Here is a 23696-nt window from a genome sequence, read left to right as displayed (position 1 = left end):
ACCAGTCGCGAACTGGAGCCAAAGTGACTCCAGTTTTATTGTAACCGTTTTTAATTTAAAGCCCTTGGGTGACTTCCCGTTACTTTAGTTCAAAGGCCCTTTCCTGGTTTGTCGGGGTCCTGTCGACCTCTCCAGTCCCCGCAGCTCCCGTGAAACACAGGACCTGTGCTAGGTGCTCAGGGCGTGTGGGGGAAGGCATCACAGGAGGGCGCGGCAGCCTTGTAGGAGAGACAGACGTCAGAGTAAAGAGTCACCTAATTAAAATGGTGAATGACAACACACGCGGGAAGCAGTGGACGCTTCAGATCTACTGCAGAGAATGGGCCCAGTGGCGGATAGAGGCTTTAGCTTTCTCGTCTGTCACCCAGGCTGGAGTGCAATGGTGCGATCATAGCTGATAGATCGCTGCGGCCTCAAATTCTTGGGCTCAAGTGGTCCTGCTGCCTCAGCGTTCCAAAGAGCTGTAACTGCAGGCGTGAGCCACCATGCCTGCCCCTGTACTTTTTCCATGTTTAGATACACAAATATCTCTGTGTTACAGTTGTCTAGTGTTCAGCACCGCCACCTGCTGGGCAGGTTTGTAGCCCACGAGCAAGAGGCTCCTCTAGGTGGTTTAGGTGCATTGTAGGCCGTACACCATCCAGGTCTGCGAGTGACTCTGATGATCGCACAGAAGGAAATCATGTAACCATACGTTTCTCTTTTTTTCTTTTGGAGATAGTGTCTCTCTCTGTCGCTCAGGCTGGAGTGCAGTGGCGCGATCTGGGCTCACTGCAACCTCTGCCTGCTGGGTTCAAGCGATTCTCGTGCCTCAGCTTCCCAAGTAGCTGGGATTACAAGTGTGCGCCACCAGGCTTGGCCAATTTTTGTATTTTTGGTAGAGACTGGTTTTCACCATGTTGGCCAGGCATTTCTCAGAATGTTGAGTGATGCATGACTGTACTTTCTGTCTCTGTAAAAGCCTTTGGGCTCTTGACATTTTCCACAAGTTGTAAAATAACATTTTTCAAACCAATTTGTACAGTTAGCTTTGAGCTCTCAACAGAGACTCTTTTTCACGTCCCTCTGTGTTTTAATCACTTGGAGTGTGTGCTCACTAGGAGTGTGTGCCCCGCTTGTCCGTGGTGGAGTGTGACATGCGTGCATTGCTTCCCTCAGCACGCGTCCCTGCGGTAGCTCACAGCCTCTGTGAGGAGGACGTCAGTCCCTCCCAGTCACAGTTGCTGGGCCTGTCAGTTTGTGTGATTAATAGTAAGAATTCAGGAGCATCAAGAAGGCCAAGTCAGCGGCCATGGCTAGACGTTCCTCCAAGAAGCAGCCACGGCTAGATGTTCCTCAGAGCTGTGTTTTCAGTGGGACGCTGTGCATTTCTGGCGGGACAGCTCTGTTGATGATTAGCATCCCCCGCCCTTGCCCTCTAAGTAGCGAGAGCACCCTTCCATGACCGTGACACCCCAGAGTTGCCCTAGGACTTTTCCAAAGGTCTTCTGGGGGGAGGGACTCTGTGCGAGTACGGGCTGCCCTCTTGGAGGCCCGGTCCCCACATTCAGGGAGAGCAGCAGGCTCCTCATGGGATGAACACTCATGACGTGCGGGCATCTGTGCTTCTATTTCTAGAAGAGATACGAAGTTTCCTGAAGGTAGTTTTTATTTTTTTTATTATTATTTTTTGAGACAGAGTCTCGCTCTGTTGCCCAGGCTGGAATGCAGTGGTGTGATCTTGGCTCACTGCAAGCTCCGCCTCTCGGGTTCATGCCATTCTCCTGCCCCAGCCTCTGGAGTATCTGCGACTACAAGCGCCCGCCACCACCCCCGGCTAATTTTTTTGTATTTTTAGTAGAGATGGGGTTTCACCATGTTAGCCAGGATGGTCTCGATCTCCTGACCTCATGATCCGCCCACCTTGGCTTCCCAAAGTGCTGAGATTACAGGCGTGAGCCACCGTGCCCAGCATGTAGTTTTTAAATAAATACTCAGATGATTTTTCTTCATAGGTAGCTTTCTCTCCTGACTTGTGTCTGGTGGGGGAGTGCTTTGTTTTGGTGGCAAATGGTTTTCTTGCCACCTAGCATGACCAAAGTGTTTCTCAGACCAGCAGTTATAGGACAACCTGCAGTCCTCGGGGAGCCGAGTAGAATGTGGGTGAAACAGGCCACCCTTGGATTTGAAGGGGCCGCTGGCCGGAAAGTTTGGGCTGTCTTTTCTGCTTCACAAGTAGTTTGCAGGGCCTCGTCCAGGGCTCCCATGACTGTTAAAAAAGCATCTGGTAGTTTAAGATGTTGTCAGTGATTGGGACCCAATTTTCCTTTTGTAAACCTAACCATTTCCCAGATAACAGAGTTAACACCTCCAGGGAGCAATGGTGCCGCATGTTTGTTTCTGCTTTCCTGGTAACAACAGTGTAAGAACTTACCACGTATGGGCCCTTCTGTGCTTTCTCAGGGTGATTTCACTTCTCTCTACCACAGCTCTACGCAGGACCTAGGGCTTCCCCTTTTCAGAAGAAGCTTGGAGAGGACGTGTCCTTGTTCAGGGTCCCACAGCCTAGAAGTAGCCACGTCAGTGTCCAGACTGCATGGGGCTCCATGGCGCGTGCCCTGCTGGCCTTGTGCTTGAACTGTAGTTACCGTGAGCACCTCCTGGGTCAAAAGCATGTGTGTGAGCAACTCAGCACCATGCCTTCTTATCGCTCTCCTTCCATTTTCGGAGATACCCTGCCTGTGACCAGTATTTGATGTTCATCTACAGATAAACTGTCTTCCATCACACAGGATTAGAATCTCGGTGTCGAGTCCCGTGCTAATAATCGTTAGTGAATTAGCATATTGTGGGAGTATGTGCTGAGTCTTCTGTACTCTATTGTAGGGACCAGCCCCACAGGGTCGGTGGGTTTTTCTCCTCGTGTGCGGAGATGAGAGATTGTAAAAATAAAGACGCAAGACAAAGAGATAAAAGAAAAGACAGCGGGCCCGGGGAACCACTACCACCAAGACGCAGAGACCGGTAGTGGCCCCGAATGCCTGGCTGCGCTGTTATTTATTGGATACAAAGCAAAAGGGGCAGGGTAAAGAGTGTGAGTCATCTCCAATGATTGATAAGGTCATGTGTGTCATGTGTCCACCAGACATGGGGCCCTTCCCTGTTACGTAGCCGAGGCGGAGAGAGAGAGGACAGCTTATGTCATTATTTCTTCTATGTTCTTTTCAGAAAGATCAAAGACTTTAATACTTTCACTAATTTTGCTACTGCTATCTAGAGGGCGGAGCCAGGTGTACGGGATGGAACATGAGAGCAGACCAGGAGTGTGACCGCTGAAGCACAGCATCACAGGGAGACAGTCAGGCCTCCGGATAACTGCGGGCGGGCCTGACTGATGTCAGGCCCTCCACAAGAGTTGGAGGCGTAGAGTCTTCTCTAAACTCTCCGGGGAAAGGGAGACTCCCTTTCCCGGTCTGCTAAGTAGCGGGTGTTTTTCCTTGACACTGACACTACCGCTAGACCAAGGTCCGCTTGGCAAGGGGCATCTTCCCAGACGCTGGCATCACCGCTAGACCAAGGAGCCCTCTGGTGGCCCTGTCCGGGCATGACAGAAGGCTCACATTCTTGTCTTCTGGTCACTTCTCACTATGTCCCCTCAGCTCCTATCTCTGTATGGCCTGGTTTTTCCTAGGTTATGATTGTAGAGCAAGGATTATTATAATATTGGAATAAAGAGTAATTGCTACAAACTGATGATTAATGATATTCATATATAATCATATCTATGATCTAGATCTAGCATAACTCTTGTTGTTTTATATATTTTGTTACACTGGAACAGCTCGTGCCCTCGGTCTCTTGCCTCGGCACCTGGGTGGCTTGCCGCCCACACTCGATGTTTTGTTGAGCTCATCCTTGTCTCCCTGAAGCTGTCAGCAGAGTGGTTGTTTACCTTTTTTGGGTCATAGAGCCTTTGAGAATTTGTTGAAGGGTCATCTCCTCAGAAAATAAAAAGTTATTTTGCCCATAACTTTCAAGGGCTCATCTGTTACTGATTACTCATGGATACCGGCTTAAGAACCCTTGTGTAGATGAAATGTTTGTGAAGCATGTAAAGTTTGCTTATATTTGTTTTGTAATCTATAGCCAGTTGCCTTGCCTGTGTTTTTTGTTTTGTTTTGTTTTTTGTTGAGACAGGGTCTCCCTCTGTCGCCCAGGCTGGAGTGGCTCAAGCGATCCTCCCACCTCAGCCTCCCGAGTAGCTAAGACTACAGGCATATGCTACCATGCCCAGTTAATTTTTGTATTTTTTGTAGAGACAGAGTCTCACTGTGTTGCCCAGGCTGTCTTGACTCCTGGCCTCGAGTGACTCACCTGACTCAGCCTCCCAAAATGCTGGGATTCCAGGCGAGAGCCACTGCACACAGCCATGTGTTTGTCTTAATGGCCTTGTATCGGAACTCTTGGTGACAGAGGCTAATGAGCAGCCACTGGTGGGAGAGTAGGGGCGGCGCTCACCCTGCCCCCTGACCCAGGGGTGGGCTCACCCTACACCCTGACCCCACGCAGTGTTCTGCTGCCCACTTGGGTGTCTGTGACGCCTTCGATCTCATATGTGTTATATGTCTCCTGGTGAGCCCCTGGGGCAGCTGGAGCTGCAGTGGAACTTCACCTAGCTCAAACGTGTAGGGAACGTGTAGAAGTCCTACCAGAAGCGTCTCTGTCGGTAGCCACGCTTGGGCAAGAAAAGGAGATGTCACGGGTACCAGAGTGAAAAAGTAACGCAGAGCCGGCCAAGTGAATGGAGCTGCGGCTGAGCACCGCGGGCTCTGAGAACCAGTGTGGGCCTCTCCGGTAGAAGCTGGGATGTTACTGTGTGTGCCGGTAGCTGGCACAGTGTCAATGGCTTGGGCCTGCACAGAGCTCCCTGTGTAGACCCCACAGGCCTCACGTCTGGGACCAGAAAGCTCTGTCCCCAAGCCGAGGCGAGCAGCAGAGCATTCCCTGCTGGCCCAGACCCATGTGTGGAGGGAGGTGCAGGGGAAAGGGAACCTGGGTCTCAGGCCCCATTCATGCTGCCCACGGGGCTGGCTCCCGGAGCTGCGGAGGCCGCCTGGAAGCTGGAGGCAGGTGAATCCCAGGCCCACCCAGAGGACCCTCTGAGAGGCTGCTGGGGTGTCGGGGAGGGGCCCTAATCCCAGGCCCATGCAGAGGACCCTCTGAGAGGCTGCTGGAGTTCAGGGAGGGGCCCTAATCCCAGTCCCGTCCAGAGGACCCTCTGAGAGGCTGCTGGGGTGTTGGGCAGGGGCCCTAATCCCAGGCCCATGCAGAGGACCCTCTGAGAGGCTGCTGGGCTGTTGGGGGAGGGGCCCTAGGCCAGGCAGGCCAGGTGATAACTTGGTTTGTCAAAGCCTGACATTGGCCAGTCTTGAGTGTTTAAAAAAATGTTTTTTATTTCTACAGTTTGAATTTTATGAATAGCTGTCTTCTTACCTATAGGAGAACATATTGTGATGTTCGTGCCTCAGAGCTAAAACTATGAGTGAATTTCGGATTCACCATGACGTCAATGAACTGCTTAGCCTGCTGCGTGTCCACGGAGGAGATGGGGCTGAGGTCTACATTGACCTGCTTCAAAAGAACAGGACCCCGTACGTCACTACCACTGTCTCTGCTCACAGTGCCAAGGTGAGCACTGCCCTTGGTGTAGCGCTGTGCAGGGTGAGCACTGTTCCTGGGTCAGGGTGGTGCAGGGTGAGCCCACCCCTGGGTCAGGGTGCAGGGTGAGCGCCGTTCCTGGGTCAGGGTGGTACAGGGTGAGCACCATTCCTGGGTGAGGGTGCAGGGTGAGCCCACCCCTGGGTCAGGGTGCAGGATGAACACTGTTCCTGGATCAGGATGGTGCAGGGTGAACCCACCCCTCAGTCCATGTGCAGGATGAGCGTCGTCCCTGGGTCAGGGTGCATGATGAGCACCGCCCCTGGGTCAGGGTGCAGGGTGAGCGCCACCTCTGGTGCAGGGGGCAGGGTGAGCGCCACCTCTGGTGCAGGGTGCAGGGTGAGCGCCACCTCTGGTGCAGGGTGCAGGGTGAGCGCCACCTCTGGTGCAGGGCTGTGCGGGGTGCAGGGTGAGCGCCACCCCGGGGTCAGGATGGTGCAGGGTGAGCACTGCCCCTGGTGCAGGGCTGTGTACCGTGCAAGATGCAGGGTGAGTGCCCGTTCCTGGGTGGCCTCAATGGTACCGGCAACGATGGCAGACAGCACTTGGTCTGTGTGTGTGTTCAGCTCTGATTCTCCTGACTCCCCCCAGCAGCTCCTGTGATTCACCCCACTGTGCAGATGAGTAAATGGAGGCCTATGGAGAAAGCTGGGCCTAGAACCCTCCCTCTTCCCCACTCTGTCCCCTGCAGCCATGAGGTGGGAGAGTCCTGACATGTGCATTCCTGTGGATAAAAAGGGAGGGACTGGGCCAGGCGCGGTGGCTCACACCTGTAATCCCAGCACTTTGGGAGGCTGAGGCAGGTGGATCACAAGGTCAGGAGATCAAGACCACCCTGGCTAACACGGTGAAACCCCGTCTCTACTAAAAATACAAAAAATTAGCTGGGTGTGGTGGCGGGCACCTGTAATCCCAGCTACTCGGGGGGCTGAGGCAGGAGAGTGGCGTGAACCCGGGAGGTGGAGCTTGCAGTGAGCCGAGATATCGTGCCACTGCATTCCAGCCTGGGCGTCAGAGTGAGACTCTGTCTCAAAAAAAAAAAAAAAAAAAAAAAAAAAAAAGGGAGGGACTGGTATTAACCATGTTGAAATGCCTTTAAGGTATTATTTCTTTATTCAGATAATATGTAATTCAGAAGTATAGATTTTCAGTAAAAATGATTTTGAATTTGAAGTCTATTTTAAAAAATACATTATGAAGCTTCAGTTATTTAAACAGGTTAACAATGGCACAAGGATAATTAGGCAAATTAGCCGAGTGGAATAGAGACTTGGGGACACCCATGTTTAGTTCATTCTGAAGGAAGCATTGTAAATCACTGAGTAAAACATAACCCCTGCTGGGCACGGTCGCTCACACCTGTAATCCCAGCCCTTTGGGAGGCCGAGGCGGGTGGATCACCTAAGGTTGGGAGTTCGAGACCAGCCTGGCCAACATGGAGAAACCCCATCGCTACTAAAAATACAAAAATTAGGGCGTGGTGGTGCGTGCCAGTAATGCAGCTACTCAGGAGGCTGAGGCAGGAGAATTACTTGAACCAGGGAGGTGGAGGTTGCGGTGAGCCTAGATCACGCCATTGCACTCCAGCCTGGGCAACAAGAGCGAAACTCCGTCCAAAAGAAAAAGCATAACCCCTAGGGTTGCACATAATAACAAATTCCAGAGGGAACATAGTGAGGTGTATACAATGAACGCATAAACTACTGCGGGGAATACAGTGAGATGCAGACAATGAACGCATAAACTACTGGGGGGAAAAGGTAAGTCGCTACTCTCCAGTACAAACCTGAAGAAGCATAAAAGGGAACACAGTGAGATGCATACAATGAACGCATAAACTACTGGGGGGAAATGCAAGTTGCTACTCTCCAGTACAAACCTGAAGCAGCATAAAAGGGAATACAGTGAAATGTATACAATGAACGCATAAACTACTGGGGGGAAGTGTAAGTCGCTACTCTCCAGTACAAACCTGAAGAAGCATAAAAGGGCGGGCGCAGGGGCTCACACCTGTAACGCCAGCACTTTGGGACGAGGCAGGTGGATGGCTTGAGCCTGGGAGTTTGAGAGCAGTCTGGGCAACATGGTGAAATCCTGTCTCTAGAAAAAATTAAAATAATACGAAGAAGCACAAAAGGAAAGGAACCATAATGGGAAATACGGATAAGGTTTGTTTTGTTTTGTTTTGAGACAGAGTCTTACTCTGTCACCCAGGCTGGAATGCATGTGGCACGATCTTGTCTTACTGCAGTCTCAACCTCCCAGGCTGATGTGATCCTCCCATCTCAGCTTCCCAAGTAGTGACCACAGGCAAGTGCCACCACGCCTCGCTAATTTTTGAATCTTTTTGTAGAAATGGGGTTTTGTTATTTTGGCCAGGCTGGTCTTGAACTCCTGGACTCAAGCAGTCTACCAGCCTCGGCCTCCCAAAGTGCTGGGATTACAGTCATGAGCCACTGCCTAGCTCAAAACATGGATAAGTTTAACACAATATGGAGATGAGTTTTGTTAGTTTATTTCAGAGGGATAATTATTTAACCTACCCAATTTAATTCCATTGGCTTATTGTGTTCAATTTTCGTAAAGGTTTTTTTTTACAGTGCTTTATTAATTACCGTCATTAAATCACTCATGTTTGTGCTTTTGAGGTTAAAATTGCAGAGTTTTCTCGTACTCCAGAAGACTTTCTAAAGAAATATGATGAACTGAAATCTAAAAATACAAGGAACCTTGACCCGCTGGTGTACCTGTTGTCAAAGCTCACGGAAGACAAAGAGGTAGGTGCCCATGCCACGTGCCACACTGCGCCCGTACGGCCCATGTTGGGAGTGGGGTCGCGTCTCCTGCTCACTCCACGCCATCTTCCTGTCAGCTCTTCCTCGCTCACACCAGTAACGCTTCTAGGCCATGTAGGAAATTTTTGGTGAATCAGAATGAAAGATAACCCATGTTGGGTGTAAACATGAGAAGCAGCCTCTGGGGCACTTTGAGCTTCCCGCATGTGTCACGCTCAGTTCCTGCCTGTCGCACGCGTCGCTTTGCTATTAATGGGTGCCTGTCAGGGTTGGGGAGCCGTCCTGGTGGTGTCGTCCCTACTCTCCCCCTATGGCCAAAGAGGTGCTGGCCCAGTGTGAACACACAGTTTTACATGTTTTCAGACTCTGCAGTACTTACAACAGAATGCAAAAGAAAGAGCTGAGCTTGCAGCCGCTGCTGTGGGCAGCAGTACCACCAGCATCAACGTCCCTGCCGCGGCCTCCAAGATCTCCATGCAGGAGCTTGAGGAACTGAGGAAGCAGCTTGGCAGCGTGGCCACAGGCTCCACGCTGCAGCAGGTACTGCGTCCATGGCTGTCCACAGGCTCCATGCTGCAGCAGGTCCTGTGTCCGTGGCGTCCACAGGCACCCACACTCAGTGCTGTGCCGGGCCCCTGCTGGAAGGACATGTCTCTCTGTCATTTATTGAAAATGAATCCCTTAGAGAGGCCAAGGCTTAATGCTTGATCATGACCTAGCTCTATATGTTTAGTTTTTTTTTTAACCAAGAATTCTGGACCACAAGAATCAATAGCAGCAAGGTTCTGACCCACGTGGGAGTTGTGCTGCCAGGTGGCCACGTGACTCTGAGCCTACCCAATCCTGACTCCCCATTTCCCTCCTCCAATTTTTGACAATTTTGAGGGAATGCTTTCAGATCATTATATTTTCAAGATTCTCGAAAATACAGTAATTTTTATTATTCCTTCTGTATTTGCTACTTGCTCTTGGTTTTGATTTTATGCCCTACCCTGGTCTTTTGACGTAAGTCATCTCCCAGTCTCTCTCATTAGAGCTGCCACGTTCCTGCCTTTGTGACCTTTAAACTCCCTTTGGAGCTGTGTCCCTGAGGCGTCCTAGCCTCCTGGGTGCGTGTTGAGTGCAGCGGCTCCCAAGGACCCAGCCGGTTCTTGCTGGGCACGTTCTGTGCTGGACATGGTGCTAGGCCTCTGTCCACGTCTCCCTCAGCCGTGGCAGAAGACTGGGTCTTACTGCCACGTGCAGAGACAGTTTGCATCTGCCCGTGTCCCTGACCAGCCCTGAGTGGGAGTCAGTGCTTCCGAAAGCTGGGCCAGCCCAGGCCGACCCCATCAGCCTCTGGCGGCCACTGGCGCAGGAGGGCAGGCTCTCTGACCACATGTCAGGAGCCATCCTGTCACGCTGGGGCCCTTCTCCGGCAGGGTAAGGATGCATGTCTGTTGCTGAAGCCTGTCTTCACCCATCAAGTGGTGTTCAGACCTAGTCACTGCCAGAAAGAAGCAATTCAGCTTGTTCACAGGGCGCCCTCCTTTGAAACAGCGGCTCTGTGCCTAGGTGCACCCTCTCCCGTGGTTCCCACTGCTGGTGCTCATGTTTTCCCAGGGGGGCCCTTGCAGGACCTGCACTCCTGAGAAGAGGGGCTAGGGCTCCCCATCTGCCCTGTTGTCCCCAGCCCCTCACGTTGTGGCAGGCAGGGATGTCGAGGCGCATTTCATTTCTATGTGGTTGACCCTTTGTGGGTGTTGAATTGAGTAATCATCTTTGCCGTAGATGCTAGCTTCTATGCATGTCTTTAGTTGAGTGTTTGCGCTAAAGTGTATCTTTCTGGTTTTGTTTTTTAAAATGTCCTTGCTAGTCTCTGGAACTTAAAAGAAAGATGCTTCGAGACAAGCAGAACAAAAAAAATTCAGGCCAGCACCTCCCCATCTTCCCAGCATGGGTGTATGAGAGACCTGCCCTGATCGGGGATTTCCTGATTGGTGCTGGCATCAGCACAGACACCGCTTTGCCGATAGGTACGTGATGCGTTGATTTCCGGGCTCTGCCGATAGGTACGTGATGCGTTGATTTCCGGGCTCTGCCGATAGGTATGTCATGTGTTTATTTCTGGCCTCTGGGCAGGACACTTTGCAGGCCCAGCCCTCCCCCGGGCCTGCCTTTCCTCAGGTTGTGAGGCTCAATGCTGACTGGCTGCCGCCTCCATATTCCCATCCCAGGATGGCAGCAGAGAACGGCTCACCCGGGTCCTTGAGGGTTCTTCTCCTGTCCCTTCTGCCAGAGCTGTGGGGCAGCCTGCAGCAGGCCCCTCCCCAGCCGGCATCCTGGTGCCCTGGTGCAGACCTGCAGGCATCAGAATTGTGTGCAGCACTTATTTCTGAACAGCGATTCATGACTCCCATAGATTCTGTTACAGCAGTATTCTCAGAGGCCTCTTAAGTAGTGTTCGTGTAAACAAGATGCGGGTGAGACCACACAGTCATTTCAAGACGTTGTTATTGGGGACCTGGGATGTGTTCATCTGTCACAATTCATGGGTACATTTTTATTTTTATTTATTTTTAGTTCTTTTGAGATGGAATCTCGCTCTGTCGCCCAGGCTGAAGTGCAGTGGCGTGATCTCGGCACACTGCAACCTCCACCTCCCAGGTTGAAGCGATTCTCCTGCCTCAGCCTCCCAAGTAGCTGGGACTGCAGGCGCCACCACGCCTGGCTAATTTTTATATTTTTAGTAGAGACGGGGTTTTGCCGTGTTGGCCAGACTGGTCTCGAACTCCTGACCTCTGGTGATCTGCCCACCTTGGCCTCACAAAGTGCTGGGATTACAGGCATGAGCCACCACGCCTAGTCAAGTACATTTTTAGATTGAAAAATGAGATTTCACAAACTAAGGACAGAGCATACCTGCTTATCTTGCCCCATCCCCGTTAGTCCAAACTCAAGAGGCAGCATGGAGCGTGGTCTGCTTCCCCACTACTCACGGCTCTGCAATGTGGGCACCAAGGGGCCAACCCTTGCCTTTGCCGGAAACCCTGGAGAACGGTGACGTGAAATCCACCTGTTTTCCTCATCCCCAAGCAAACAGAACCCTGCTGTAAGTTAATGAAAAGTATAGAAAAACCCTGCTGTAAGTTATGAGAAGTATAGAAAACCATGCTGTAAGTTAATGAAAAGTATGGAAAACAGTCTACTTCGGCCAGGCATGGTGGCTCACACCTGTAATCCCAGCACTTAGGGAGGTGAGGTGCGTGGATTCCTTGAGCCCAGGAATTCGAGACCAGCCTGGGCGACAGGACGAGACTAGTCTCTACAAAAAATGTGAAAATTAGCCGAGTGTGGTAGCGTGCACCTGTAGTCCCAGCTACTCAGGAGGCTGAGGTGGGAGGATCACTTGAGCCTGAGAGGTCGAGGCTGCAGTGAGCTGTGATCGTGCCACTGCACTCCAGCCTGGGCAACAGAGCGAGACCCTGTTTCAAAAAAAAAAAAACAAAGCAGTCTGCTTTGTGCAGTGTTTTCAGTAATAATCCAACTGTGAAAACCCAACTGTGAAGACTTAGGGAGAGAGAGCTGCTCCCTTAGCGGGTACTCAGCAGGCAGCCGGGGAGTGGTGGGCACCTGAGAGCTCCTGATGGTACCCAGGCAGACTTCGGAGAAGGAAGCGCGGGGCCCTGCTGCCTGGGATCCCAGCAGTGGAGCCGGCTTTTTGGAGCAGGAGGCACTGAGGGGGTGTTCAGGCTTTCCCCCCATGTTTCCCCATTCAGGGAAGGGGTTGTACAAAAGAGGAACGCACTGTCCAGTAACGCTGCGGCGCCGTGGGCAGCTCTGAGCGTGGCGGTGATTGGCAGCAAGTGTGTGAGACTTGGCTGTGAACCCTGCAGCCAGCTCTCAGGTCAGGGTGCAGGTGCCCTCAGCACACTCAGCATCCCAGGAAAGGGGCGGCCTCGCCCCACCTCCCTCCCACGGCCACATACCACAGGTCCCAGGGGTGCCTCCGGTATTGAGGCTGCCTTGCCTCCCTTTGTCCGCACTGTCCCTGTCCCCTTGTGCCACCTGTGCAGACTTGAGAATGGAGCTCACTGTGGTGTTCATGCCGGGGCCTGTCTAGCTCCTCACCCCACGATTTGACCAGTGCCACACCACGGGACCTTGTGTGACCTCGGGCCTGCGTCCTCTGGAAAACAGCTGTGGAGTGGTGTGATGAGGACAGGTGCCTTGGAAAGCATCAGGACCTTGTGAGCACGAGGCAGCTGCCAGCACTCCACGTTCCCGCCATGCTCTCCTCACCGTGTGGGCATCCACCTGGCCAGCGCCGCCTCCGCAGTGCCCCTCCCTCTGGTCGCTCCCGCGCAGCATGCGAAGGTGTTATCTGCCCGCGTCCTGCCTTTTCCCCACACCGGCACGGAGGAGCCACGTGTTCGGTGGTCGTTCGGACGTGGTGATTTGCAGGTGACATCGCAGGTGTTGAGATGACACTGAGGATGTTGAATATTGGGGAGGTGAAGCAACTGACTCTTTTTTTGCTTGAGACAGGGTCTCACTTCGTTGCCTAGGCTGGAGTGCAGTGGCACAATCTCAGCTCACTGCAGCCTCGACCTCCCAAGCTCAGGTGATTCTCCCACCTCAGCCTCCCGAGTAGCTGGGACTGCAGGTGTGCACCATCACACGCAGCTAATTTCTGTATTTTCAGTAGAGACGGGGATTCGCCGTGTTGCCCAGGCTGGTCTTGAACTCCTGGAGTCAAGCGATCTGTCCACCTTGGCCTCCTAAAGTGATGGGATTACAGGTGTGAGCCACCATACCCGGCCTAAAGCAACCCTTGAGGTCCCTCCACAGCCAGGCGGCTGGATCCACACTAACCCCCACCCCACGGCACCTCCACCCCACCGTGAGGCTTCTCCCCACAAGGGCATTGGCCGAGGCTTCGTGGCTGTGGATGAATGAGGCCAACATGGTGGAAAGTAAGTGATGCAGAGTCAGAGGCAGTTCCTGGAAGATGCACTCGCTGTTCCCAAAACGCCAAGCCACACCCACTCCTTTAGGGATGGTAGACATTGGGGTCTCGGTTTTATTGGTCATCCTGAGAAGGCCACTGGAGTAATAGAAAGAAATGGAATTTGAAGTTGAAAAGTGTAGATCTGCCAGCCTGGGCAACACGGCAAGACCCCACCTTTACAAAAAATTTAAAAATTAGCCAGGAATGGTGGCACGTGCCAGTGGTCCCAGCTCCGAGGGAGACTAAGGATACAGGATCGCTTGAGCCTGGGTGCTCAAGGCTGCAGTGAGCTGAGATTGCACCACTGCCCTCCAGACTGGGTGACAGAGTGAGATTTGTCTCAAAAATAAAAAAAGGAAAAAAAAAAAACAAGGACAGTGTGGATCTGCATCAGGATTGAGGCTTTCGCTGAAGGGCTTGCGTTGGTGACGGATTGTAGTCTTGAGGCCTGCAGTCACAGGACACTTCCCAGCAGATGTGTGAGGCTGACAGAGTGATTTTGTAAACCGAAAGCCTGTTGTACGGAGCCTTCCTGAGCTGCCAGGGCCTGGTTTGGGTATGGTCTGGCTGGCACGGGGCCCTGTCAGGCCCTCGTGGGGACAGTTTCAACATCCTGCTTTCGTCTGGTGCTCCTCCCGGCCCCCCAGGCATGGCCCGCCTGAGGCTGTGGACTGAGAACTTGGTCCTGGGACCTGAGGGGTTTGGTGGGTGGCGGCCCGTGGCCGTCCTCGTGAGGAAGCTTAGCTGTGTGTCCTGCAGCCGTCTCATCCTCTCTGGATAGAAATTATCAAGAGTTTCTTAACGTTTAAGTGATAGCTTTTTAAAGACAAGGTTTTTTGTCCCAGAGTAACTCAGACTTACCAAGTTGTACTTACCAATGTTGAAAGTGCAGCTTCTGCTGGAGTCGCCTTTTCAACTCCTAACTTCACCTTTTCAAATGTCAGCCATGTATCTGAGCATTGCGGAGCCGAGTGTGGTGAGATCTTGACACCAGCCACCACGCCTCCCAGGCCGGCCCCGTCCTGCGGCGGTTGGAACTCAGCCTGTGGCTCCCCAGTGGGGTCAGTCAAAGCCAAGTGCAGTGGCTGACCTTTTATACCCATAAACAAAGATGAGCAAGAGTGAGACTGACCCGCAGATGAGGGCACGTGGCTGTGGGGGCATGGGAGTGGGGGCTGCAGAGCCACAGCGCTGTCTGTGCCCGCAGGCACGTTGCCCCTGGCCTCGCAGGAGTCGGCCGTGGTGGAGGACCTGCTGTACGTGCTGGTGGGCGTGGACGGGAGGTACGTCAGTGCTCAGCCCCTGGCTGGGAGGCAGAGCCGGACCTTCCTCGTGGACCCCAACCTGGACCTGTCCATCAGGGAGCTGGTGCACAGGATCCTCCCAGTGGCCGCCAGCTACTCCGCTGTGACCAGGTGGGCACCGGGCGCGGTCCCTGGGAGCCTGCGCTGTTGTGGGGGAGGGGTTAGGTCCCATCCTGATGACCATGGGGACGTCTGCATCGCTTCTAAAGAGAGCGCCCGCCTTGGTGACAACTCCGTGCCCAACTCAGTTTTGGAGGGTCTGTGAGTCACCATCCAGGGTCCTGACTCATCTCCTCCTGGGGCAAAAGTTCCCCTCTGGGATGTGGGGTTCAAGTGAGTCATTTGCTTCCTGTTTGGGATGAGACTCAGAATATCGGACATTGTATGTGCCTGCAGCTTGCCTTTTTGAGGAAGTCTGACAGCTTTTCTTCCAGGTTCATTGAAGAGAAGTCTTCCTTCGAGTACGGGCAGGTGAACCACGCCCTGGCGGCCGCCATGCGCACCCTGGTGAAGGAGCACCTGATTCTGGTGTCACAGCTGGAGCAGCTGCACAGGCAGGGCCTCCTTTCGCTGCAGAAGCTCTGGTTCTACATCCAGCCAGCCATGCGCACCATGGACATCCTGGCCTCCCTCGGTGCGTGCCCGCCCGGGGGGCATGGGGCAGTGGTGGGTGGCAGGTGTTGAACATGGCACCCAGTGTGAGGAGAGACTCTGCAGGGGCCGTGGAGCAGCTGCCCAGGGCAGGGGCGTGTGGCCAAAGCTCATGTTGCTCCATGTGCTATTAACTTGCAAGAGGAAAGCCCTGGAAGCTCTTACTGGTCAGCTGAAATCAGCAACTACAACCTTACAGTTAATACGTATCCCAAAGAAGCAGCACCGTCCCAGGAAGAAGGTTGGAGAAGCATGAGGGGCCCCAGCAGTGTTGTTGGCAGAGGCTGGGCGTGCGCTTCCTTCTCAGCAGTGAGCCCTCCTTTCTCCCCACAGCCACCTCGGTGGACAAAGGCGAATGTCTTGGGGGGTCCACGCTGAGCCTGCTCCACGACAGGAGCTTCAGCTACACAGGGGACAGCCAGGCGCAGGAGCTATGCCTGTACCTAACCAAGGCGGCCAGTGCTCCCTACTTCGAGGTTCTGGAGAAGTGGATCTACAGGGGCATCATCCACGACCCATACAGGTAGGGCTCCCCGGGACACGGGGACACGGAGGGACACGGGGACACGGAGGGACATGGGGGACACGGAGTGTGCATGCTGCCCTCTCCCGTACAGGTAGGGCTCCCCGGGACACGGGGACACGGGGGACACGGAGGGACACGGGGGACACGGAGTGTGCATGCTGCCCTCTCCCGTACAGGTAGGGCTCCCCGGGACACGGGGACATGGGGGACACGGAGGGACACGGGGGACACGGAGTGTGCATGCTGCCCTCTCCCGTACAGGTAGGGCTCCCCGGGACACGGGGACATGGGGGACACGGAGGGACACGGGGGACACGGAGTGTGCATGCTGCCCTCTCCCGTACAGGTAGGGCTCCCCGGGACACGGGGACATGGGGGACATGGGGGACACGGAGGGACACGGAGGGACACGGAGGGACACGGGGGACACGGAGGGACATGGGGGACACGGAGGGACACGGAGGGACACAGAGGGACATGGGGGACACGGAGGGTGCGTGCTGCCCTCTCCCGTACAGGTAGGGCTCCCCGGGACACGGGGACACGGAGGGACACGGAGGGACATGGGGGACACGGAGGGACATGGGGGACACGGACGGTGCATGCTGCCCTCTCCCGTACAGGTAGGGCTCCCCGGGACACAGGGACACGGAGGGACATGGGGGACACGGAGGGACATGGGGGACACGGAGGGCGCGTGCTGCCCTCTCCCGTACAGGTAGGGCTCCCCGGGACACGGGGACACGGAGGGACACGGGGACACGGAGGGACATGGGGGACACGGACGGTGCATGCTGCCCTCTCCCGTACAGGTAGGGCTCCCCGGGACACGGGGACACGGAGGGACACGGGGACACGGAGGGACATGGGGGACACGGACGGTGCATGCTGCCCTCTCCCGTACAGGTAGGGCTCCCCGGGACACGGGGACACGGAGGGACACGGGGACACGGAGGGACATGGGGGACACGGACGGTGCATGCTGCCCTCTCCCGTACAGGTAGGGCTCCCCGGGACACGGGGACACGGAGGGACACGGGGACACGGAGGGACATGGGGGACACGGACGGTGCATGCTGCCCTCTCCCGTACAGGTAGGGCTCCCCGGGACACGGGGACACGGAGGGACACGGGGACACGGAGGGACATGGGGGACACGGACGGTGCATGCTGCCCTCTCCCGTACAGGTAGGGCTCCCCGGGACACAGGGACACGGAGGGACATGGGGGACACGGAGGGACATGGGGGACACGGAGGGCGCGTGCTGCCCTCTCTGGGGGCTCTGGCCTTCCTTTGCTTGTGGTCTCAGGAAAGCACACCCCGGGCAGATGTCCGCCTGCTGCCCATGGGGCCCAGGGCAGGAATGGCCCAGCTGCTTATGGCCTTATTCTTTTGTGTGCAGGACATTAAATTGCCTCCAATTAGGTCCTTCAACCTCTTTGGTGCTTGGATTTCCTGATCTGGTGGGGTCTGTCGGCTTCTCTTCAGTGCGATATATTTAAATGGATAAAAATATGTTAGTTCCCAAAGAATTGTATTATGTCTATTACGTCAAGATACCGTTGTTGAAATATTTTCAAAAAATACATTAGTGATGTGGAAATGTTATTTCTTTACTAATGGACCAAATAAAATCTGGTATAATGGGCACCTTTAAAGAAAGCACCTTCACACTTGAAGTGCGTAAATGATGTTTGAAGTTGTTCAGATGATGACGTGGAGATGTCTGGTTTCTGTCAATGTTGGCCCCGCCTACCCCACACGAGCATCATTTTGGGTGTCAGGGCCCCACGCACCCCACACGAGCATCATTTTGTTGCCTGGGCTCATCATGGAAGGAAATGCTAAATTCCAAAAAGAGGTGGGTGCAGATAAAGACAAATCAGTTTCCCACCTATCTCTGCGGACCGTACATTCTCCCTGAGCCCAGGTTAAATACTCCGTTCCAGAGCGAGGTTTGTAGGTTTGTTGGTTTTCTTTTTTTTTTTTTTCTTTTTTTTTTTGAGGCAGAGTCTCGCTCCATTGCCAGGCTGGAGTGCAGTGGCATGATCTCGGCTCGCTGCAACCCCCACCTCCCAGGTTCAAGCGATTCCCCTGCCTTAACCTCCCAAGTAGCTGGGACTACAGGTGCACACCACCACGCCCAGCTGATTTTTTGTATTTTAGTAGAGACGGGGTTTCACTGTGTTGGCCAGGATGGTCTTGATCTCTTGACTTCGTGATCTGCCCACCTCAGCCTCCCAAAGTGCTGGGGTTACAGGCGTGAGCCACTGTGCCCGGCCCCTAGGTTCGTTTTAGCCGAGAAGTGTTGGGGTTACAGGCGTGAGCCACCGTGCCCGGCCCCTAGGTTCGTTTTAGCCCACAGTTGAGAAGTAACTGGTAGATTAGGCTCGGCCCTTGTGGAACGTTACTTGGAAGTGTGCTGGCCTCTGTTAATGTCCCTGCGCGCTGCCGGCCTGGAGAAGTGTCGCCTGCCTCAGGCGCCCTTGCTTTGCCTGTGACCGAAGCGCTCCCTGTGGTTTTAGTGAGTTTATGGTCGAGGAGCACGAGCTGCGGAAGGAGAGGATCCAGGAGGATTACAACGACAAGTACTGGGACCAGCGGTACACCATCGTCCAGCAGCAGATCCCGTCCTTCCTGCAGAAAATGGCGGACAAGATCCTCAGCACAGGTGCGGCGCAGCGGGCGGGGACTTGGGGTGCGCAGCACAGCTCTGCCTGGAGAGTCTCCTGCAGCCCAGGCCCTCCCACCGGGAGCCTGTGCCTCACCCTGTGGTTGCCCTGAGCCCTGGTGTCCGTGAATGCGGGGCTGAGGTCAGGACTGGCCCGTGGGCTGGGCTGCGGCGCTGAGTTAGGCCTTGAGATGGTCTCTGTTGCCAGGTTCCCTCAGGTTTCCATCTCCGGGACTCTGTCCCTGACCCTGCGAGGCTCTCTCACAGGTGCCTTCTCTATTTCTGTTTCTGATTTCTAAAACTCCGCTAGCATGTCAGGAAAAACCAGCAAAGACACACGCCTGGCGGCCGGCAGTGTTTCCTATCTCTGACCACACAGGTTAGGGCCTGACCTGGACCCAGGGCAGTGGCGCGGGGACTTGGACTCGGCACATCGGGGCCGTCACGAAAGGGTTGGGAAGCGATTAGCCATCCGGTTCTCATAATGCCTGTTCGAAATTATTTCTGTGCCCTTGGTTAGAAAATTCCAGATGTGCAGAGCCACGGCAAAGCCCTGCCACCACCAGCTCAGTCTGTAGCCGCTGACAGTGATTTACCGGGAAGGAGCAAGGGTGTGGAGCCGCCTCATGCAGCCCAGTTTCCATTCCACTGCCTTCTGTGTAGACAAAGACAGCTGGGGCCTCAGACTGACCGTGTGGAGAGCCCATTCAATGTCCATTCCACTGCCTCCTGTGTAGACAAAGACAGCTGGGGCCTGAGATCGACCATGTGGAGAATAAAATTTTGAATTTCTGTGTTTTCAGGAAAATATCTAAATGTGGTCAGAGAGTGTGGCCATGACGTCACCTGCCCGGTGGCTAAAGAGATCATCTACACGTTAAAAGAGCGGGCGTATGTGGAGCAGATCGAGAAGGCGTTTAACTACGCCAGCAAGGTGCTGCTGGACTTCCTGATGGAGGAGAAGGAGCTGGTGGCTCACCTCAGGTGATTCCGTGCCCTGTCCCTGTGCGGGCACTCACCTCCCTCTGAAACCGGAACCTGTGGGACGTGGGGCTGAGATCGCTGGGTTTCTTCTGGCAGCTCCGCCTTGTCTTTTTGAAAGTGGGCACTGCTGGATGGTCTCTAGCTCAAGGACCTGGCACTCACAGTGGGTGGTGTAGGCCCCCGGTCACCTTGTCCAGGGGCCCCAGCTCCCCTCCTTGCCCAGGGCCCACCAGCCCCTTCTCAGCTCCTCCTGCCACAGCTTGCGTGGTGGTTGCACAGCCCCTGCCTGAGAGCCAAGCGCTTAGCCTGTTGTAGTGTGTTTTAGGGTGATGGCTATGGCGAGCATCTGTGGGTGGGCACGTGCTCACGCCTGCTCCCTGGCCGTGGCGGGCACCTGCGGGTGGGCACGTGCTCACGCCTGCTCCCTGGCTGTGGCGGGCACCTGCGGGTGGGCACGTGCTCACGCCTGCTCCCTGGCTGTGGCGGGCACCTGCGGGTGGGCACCTGCTCACGCCTGCTCCCTGGCGCAGGTCCATCAAGCGCTACTTCCTCATGGACCAGGGCGACTTCTTCGTGCACTTCATGGACCTCGCGGAGGAGGAGCTCCGGAAGCCGGTGGAGGACATCACGCCCCCTCGCCTGGAAGCGCTCCTGGAGCTGGCGCTGCGCATGAGCACGGCCAACACTGACCCCTTCAAGGACGACCTCAAGGTGGGTGGGGGTGCCGGGGGCTGTCCCCTGTGGCAGAGGCCTCGGAGGGGCTGGGAGGAGAGCACAGCAGAGGCCAGCCCTGTCCCCCACTCCCCGTCCCGGTGAGGCGACCGCAGGGTCTGTTTCCTTCACTTGGCTACCGGGGCCGGCTTGCCGGGATCGGGGGTCTTTGTGCCTGTGCTCTGGAGGGGCGCGGGTCTCGGGTTTTCCTGCAGTGCCCTCGTCCGGGCCTGGCTTTCAGGTCATGCTGGCCTTGTGGAATTGTTTTCACGTGTCCCTCCATCTGTCTTTTGAAAGGGTTTCAGGTCTTTTGAAAGGGTTTCAGGAGTGGTGTTAATTCTTTTTGTTTTTGCCTTTTTGTTGTCGTTGTTTTTTGTTTTTTTTTTTGAGACGGAGTTTTGCTCTTGTCACCCAGGCTGGAGTGCAGTGGCATGATCTCAGCTCACTGCAGCCTCCACCTCCTGGGTTCAAGTGATGCTCTACCTCAGCCTCCCGAGTAGCTGGGATTACAGGTGCGCGCCACCACGCCCAGCTAATTTTTGTATTTTTAGTAGAGATGGGGTTTCACCATGTTTCCCAGGCTGGTCTTGAACTCTTGACCTCAGGTGATCCACCCACCTTGGCCTCCCAAAGTGCTGGGATTACAGGCATGAGCCACCGTGCCCAGCCGTTTTTTAAAATATATATATGTTTTATCTGTTTTTTACTATTTTTAATAGAGACGGGGGTCTGTGTTGCCCAGGCTGGTTGAACCCCTGGGCTCAAGCGATCCTTCACCTGCGCCTCCCCAGGAGGGTGTTGATTCTTTGGCTGTTTGGCAGGGTTTGCCTGGGAGCTCTTGGGCCCTGGGTTTGTCTTTGTTGGAGACTTTTGAGGGGGACTTGGCCCCTTGCTGGCCACAGGTCTGCTCAGTCCCTTTCCTCTTGGTCGGCTGTCTGTCTCGCATCTTGTCTGGTGCACAGTTCATGGGTTTCTAGTATCTGCTTTTTATTTCTGTAAGATTAGTAGTTATATCCCTTCTTTTTCTGATTTTAGTAATTTGAATCTTCTTTCGTCTTAGCTGATGTAGCTAGAAATTTGTCGATTTCATTATCTTTTCAAAGAACCAACTCTTGGGTTTGTTGACTGTATTTTTCTGTTTTCTCTCTTCTGTCATCTTTGTTACTCCTGTCTGCTGCTTAGGGGTTCAGTGTGGTCTTCTTTTTTCTAGTTTCTTAATTTGAAAAGTTAGTTTACAGCTGTAAACATCCCTCCGAGTGCAGCCTTCGCTGATCCCCTAGCGTCATAATTTCTGTTTGTCTGGAGGTGTTTCTGATTCCCTCTGATTTCTTGTTGGAGCCGTGGGTGGTTTATGTTTAACTTCCACATGTTTGTGAAGTTTCTGGTTTTCCTTCTGTTGCTTGTTTCTAACTTTATCTCCTTGTTAGAGAACAGACTTTTTGTGATTTCAGTTTTGTGAAATGTATTGATTTGTGTAGTGGCCCCACATCCATCCTGGAGAGTGTTCCGTGCGCGCGGGAGGAGGATGTGCCCTCGGTTCCGTGCGCGCGGGAGGAGGACGCGCCCTCGGTGCTGTTGGGGTGGTGTTCTGCAGGTGGGTTGAGGCCGTGTCTTTCCTCACTGATCGTCTGTCCGGCGGTTCTCTCCGTGGTTAGAAGTAGGGCACCGAGTCTCCCTGTCACTGAAGAACTGCTTTTCTCCTTGTCATTCTGTCTATTCTTGATTCAGATATTTTGGGGTCTCTTGTTAGGAGCAGGAATATTTTCGTAGGAAAAATTCCTGGTAGTGAAATTGTTGGGTCACAATACATGGCCCTTGTATGACTAGGCTGACCTTGCTGGAGTTGATGGAGTCCAGTCTCAGGACGCTGCTGTCTGCACACCTGCGAAAGCTCCCACCTTGGCTATTTGATGGACAAGTGATGTCAGGGGCTCATTTCTGCGTTTGTGATGGTCACGATTTCGTCTGTCCGCTGCTTGTTTCTTCTTGCTTTATCCCCTGCCCTTCATTTCCTGTCCTGTCGTTGTGCGATGGTTTTGTAGGAACTCTGTTGCGGGTGGTTGGAACTTAGCAAATACTCGAGTGATTAACGTGAGGACAGTATTACTTGCTTATAATAACTATTATGTCCCTCGTCAAATATGCTTCATTTTTCAACCTGGGCCTGGTGCTTATCATGGTACAAAGGTTTTCGTCCTAAGGAATCACGTTTCTTTCACCGTCCTTAGCGGTTTTTCCCTTATACCACCCACAGCAGCAGTGGGTATTTACAAAGTAATTCATCTGAATTTTTGTTGTTTTGTTCTGATGGGAAGTGGTTCAGTTTTGAATTTGATTTATCAGTAGATGTTTGGGTTTTTGAAAAGCCTCTGATATTTAGAATCGGAATGTAGGGAACCTTACGTCAGCGCTGGGTCTGTGAGCGAGGATGGCGATCGGGATGCGACTTCGGGTCTTTTCCTTAAAACTGGATGCTTTGTTTCATTTCCTTCCCTCCAAGATCGACCTGATGCCCCATGACCTCATCACTCAGCTCTTGCGCGTCCTGGCCATCGAGACCAAGCAGGAGAAGGCGATGGCGCACGCCGACCCCACGGAGCTGGCGCTGAGCGGCCTGGAGGCCTTCTCTTTCGACTACATCGTCAAGTGGCCCCTTTCGCTCATCATCAACAGGTGCGGGTCGGCTGCTCGGGCACCTGCCAGATCTTCACTCAGGTTTGGCAGAAGCGAGAACTGTGCCACGCGGTGGCCACCTCGTCCCACAGAGGACCCAAGGCGGCTCTCCCCGGCCTTCAGTGTCCGAGAGATTCACGGGCTGTCCGGGGGCCACGGTGCGGACTGTGGAGTACAGACGCCGTGTCCACGACGCCGCCGGTCACGGAGGCCCACCTGAGGTGCCGCCACGTCTCTTGCAGGAAAGCCCTCACTCGCTACCAGATGCTCTTCAGGCACATGTTCTACTGCAAGCACGTGGAGCGGCAGCTCTGCAGCGTCTGGATCAGCAACAAAACCGCCAAGCAGCACTCGCTGCACTCCGCCCAGTGGTGCGTTCTTCCTCTGCCCCCGCATGCCCTCCTGAAGCAGCGCTCGCTGCACTCTGCCCAGTGGTGCAGCGCCCCCCTTGTGCCCTCCTGGTAGACAGCTTTCTAGGCTTCTGGAAGTGTCATCTGGAAGCGCACGTTGGTGGCTTTAGATCCATAATGCTTCATTGCTTCATTTTCCTGTCTTGGGGCTGCACGGCGCTGCCGTCCACCCCACAGGGGATGCTGGCTCTGTCCCTCAGCCCTCTCTGGAGCCTTGTGGTGACTGCACGGGCATGGAGACTGCCCAGGTCGGTGTGCAGGACACTAGCTCCTCCCGAGAGCG

General features: G+C 54.2%; 1 protein-coding gene and 1 long non-coding RNA gene across 5 annotated transcripts in view, besides 2 other annotated features; both read left to right on the top strand.

Moving 5' to 3' along the window:
• The window catches only part of TUBGCP2 (tubulin gamma complex component 2), a 33703-nt gene that overhangs the window by 3879 nt on the left and 6128 nt on the right, over nucleotides 1-23696 (top strand). For 2 of the 4 annotated variants that reach the window (NR_046330.2, NM_006659.4), the window contains exons 2-13: nucleotides 5479-5667; nucleotides 8346-8474; nucleotides 8856-9032; nucleotides 10348-10507; nucleotides 14690-14897; nucleotides 15221-15420; nucleotides 15771-15960; nucleotides 18490-18635; nucleotides 19439-19619; nucleotides 20150-20330; nucleotides 22831-23003; nucleotides 23246-23374. Coding sequence is in view for 3 of the 4 variants with exons in the window: in NM_006659.4 (NP_006650.1) it covers nucleotides 5518-5667; nucleotides 8346-8474; nucleotides 8856-9032; nucleotides 10348-10507; nucleotides 14690-14897; nucleotides 15221-15420; nucleotides 15771-15960; nucleotides 18490-18635; nucleotides 19439-19619; nucleotides 20150-20330; nucleotides 22831-23003; nucleotides 23246-23374 (2024 nt within the window). In the remaining variant the exon portion in view is untranslated. Of the gene's footprint in view, nucleotides 1-5478; nucleotides 5668-8345; nucleotides 8475-8855; nucleotides 9033-10347; nucleotides 10508-11054; nucleotides 11139-14689; nucleotides 14898-15220; nucleotides 15421-15770; nucleotides 15961-18489; nucleotides 18636-19438; nucleotides 19620-20149; nucleotides 20331-22830; nucleotides 23004-23245; nucleotides 23375-23696 lie in introns of all 4 variants that reach the window. The other 2 variants (NM_001256617.2, NM_001256618.2) reach the window with 2 other exon arrangements.
• Nucleotides 181-410: an enhancer, noted in NCBI's record as "active region_4243". NCBI's record gives its function as "activates an Ori minimal core promoter by ATAC-STARR-seq in GM12878 lymphoblastoid cells {active_cell/tissue: GM12878}" and the evidence as "EXISTENCE:reporter gene assay evidence [ECO:0000049][PMID:35858748]".
• Nucleotides 14434-15633: an enhancer, noted in NCBI's record as "P300/CBP strongly-dependent group 1 enhancer chr10:135106330-135107529 (GRCh37/hg19 assembly coordinates)". NCBI's record gives its function as "activates an origin of replication core promoter dependent on BRD2, BRD4, P300/CBP, MED14 and CDK7 cofactors, with strong dependence on P300/CBP, by STARR-seq in HCT116 cells {active_cell/tissue: HCT116}" and the evidence as "EXISTENCE:reporter gene assay evidence [ECO:0000049][PMID:35650434]".
• LOC124902562 (uncharacterized) lies at nucleotides 16412-17626 on the top strand. Its single transcript, XR_007062394.1, has 2 exons — nucleotides 16412-17057; nucleotides 17152-17626. It is a non-coding gene; the product is annotated as an uncharacterized LOC124902562 (long non-coding RNA).

The sequence above is a fragment of the Homo sapiens genome, chromosome 10 (assembly GCF_000001405.40).
Source record: "Homo sapiens chromosome 10, GRCh38.p14 Primary Assembly".
NCBI classification, from domain to species: Eukaryota; Metazoa; Chordata; class Mammalia; order Primates; family Hominidae; genus Homo; species Homo sapiens.
The sequence above is the reverse complement of the archived record's forward strand: the minus strand, read 5'-3'. Positions and strand labels throughout refer to the sequence as shown.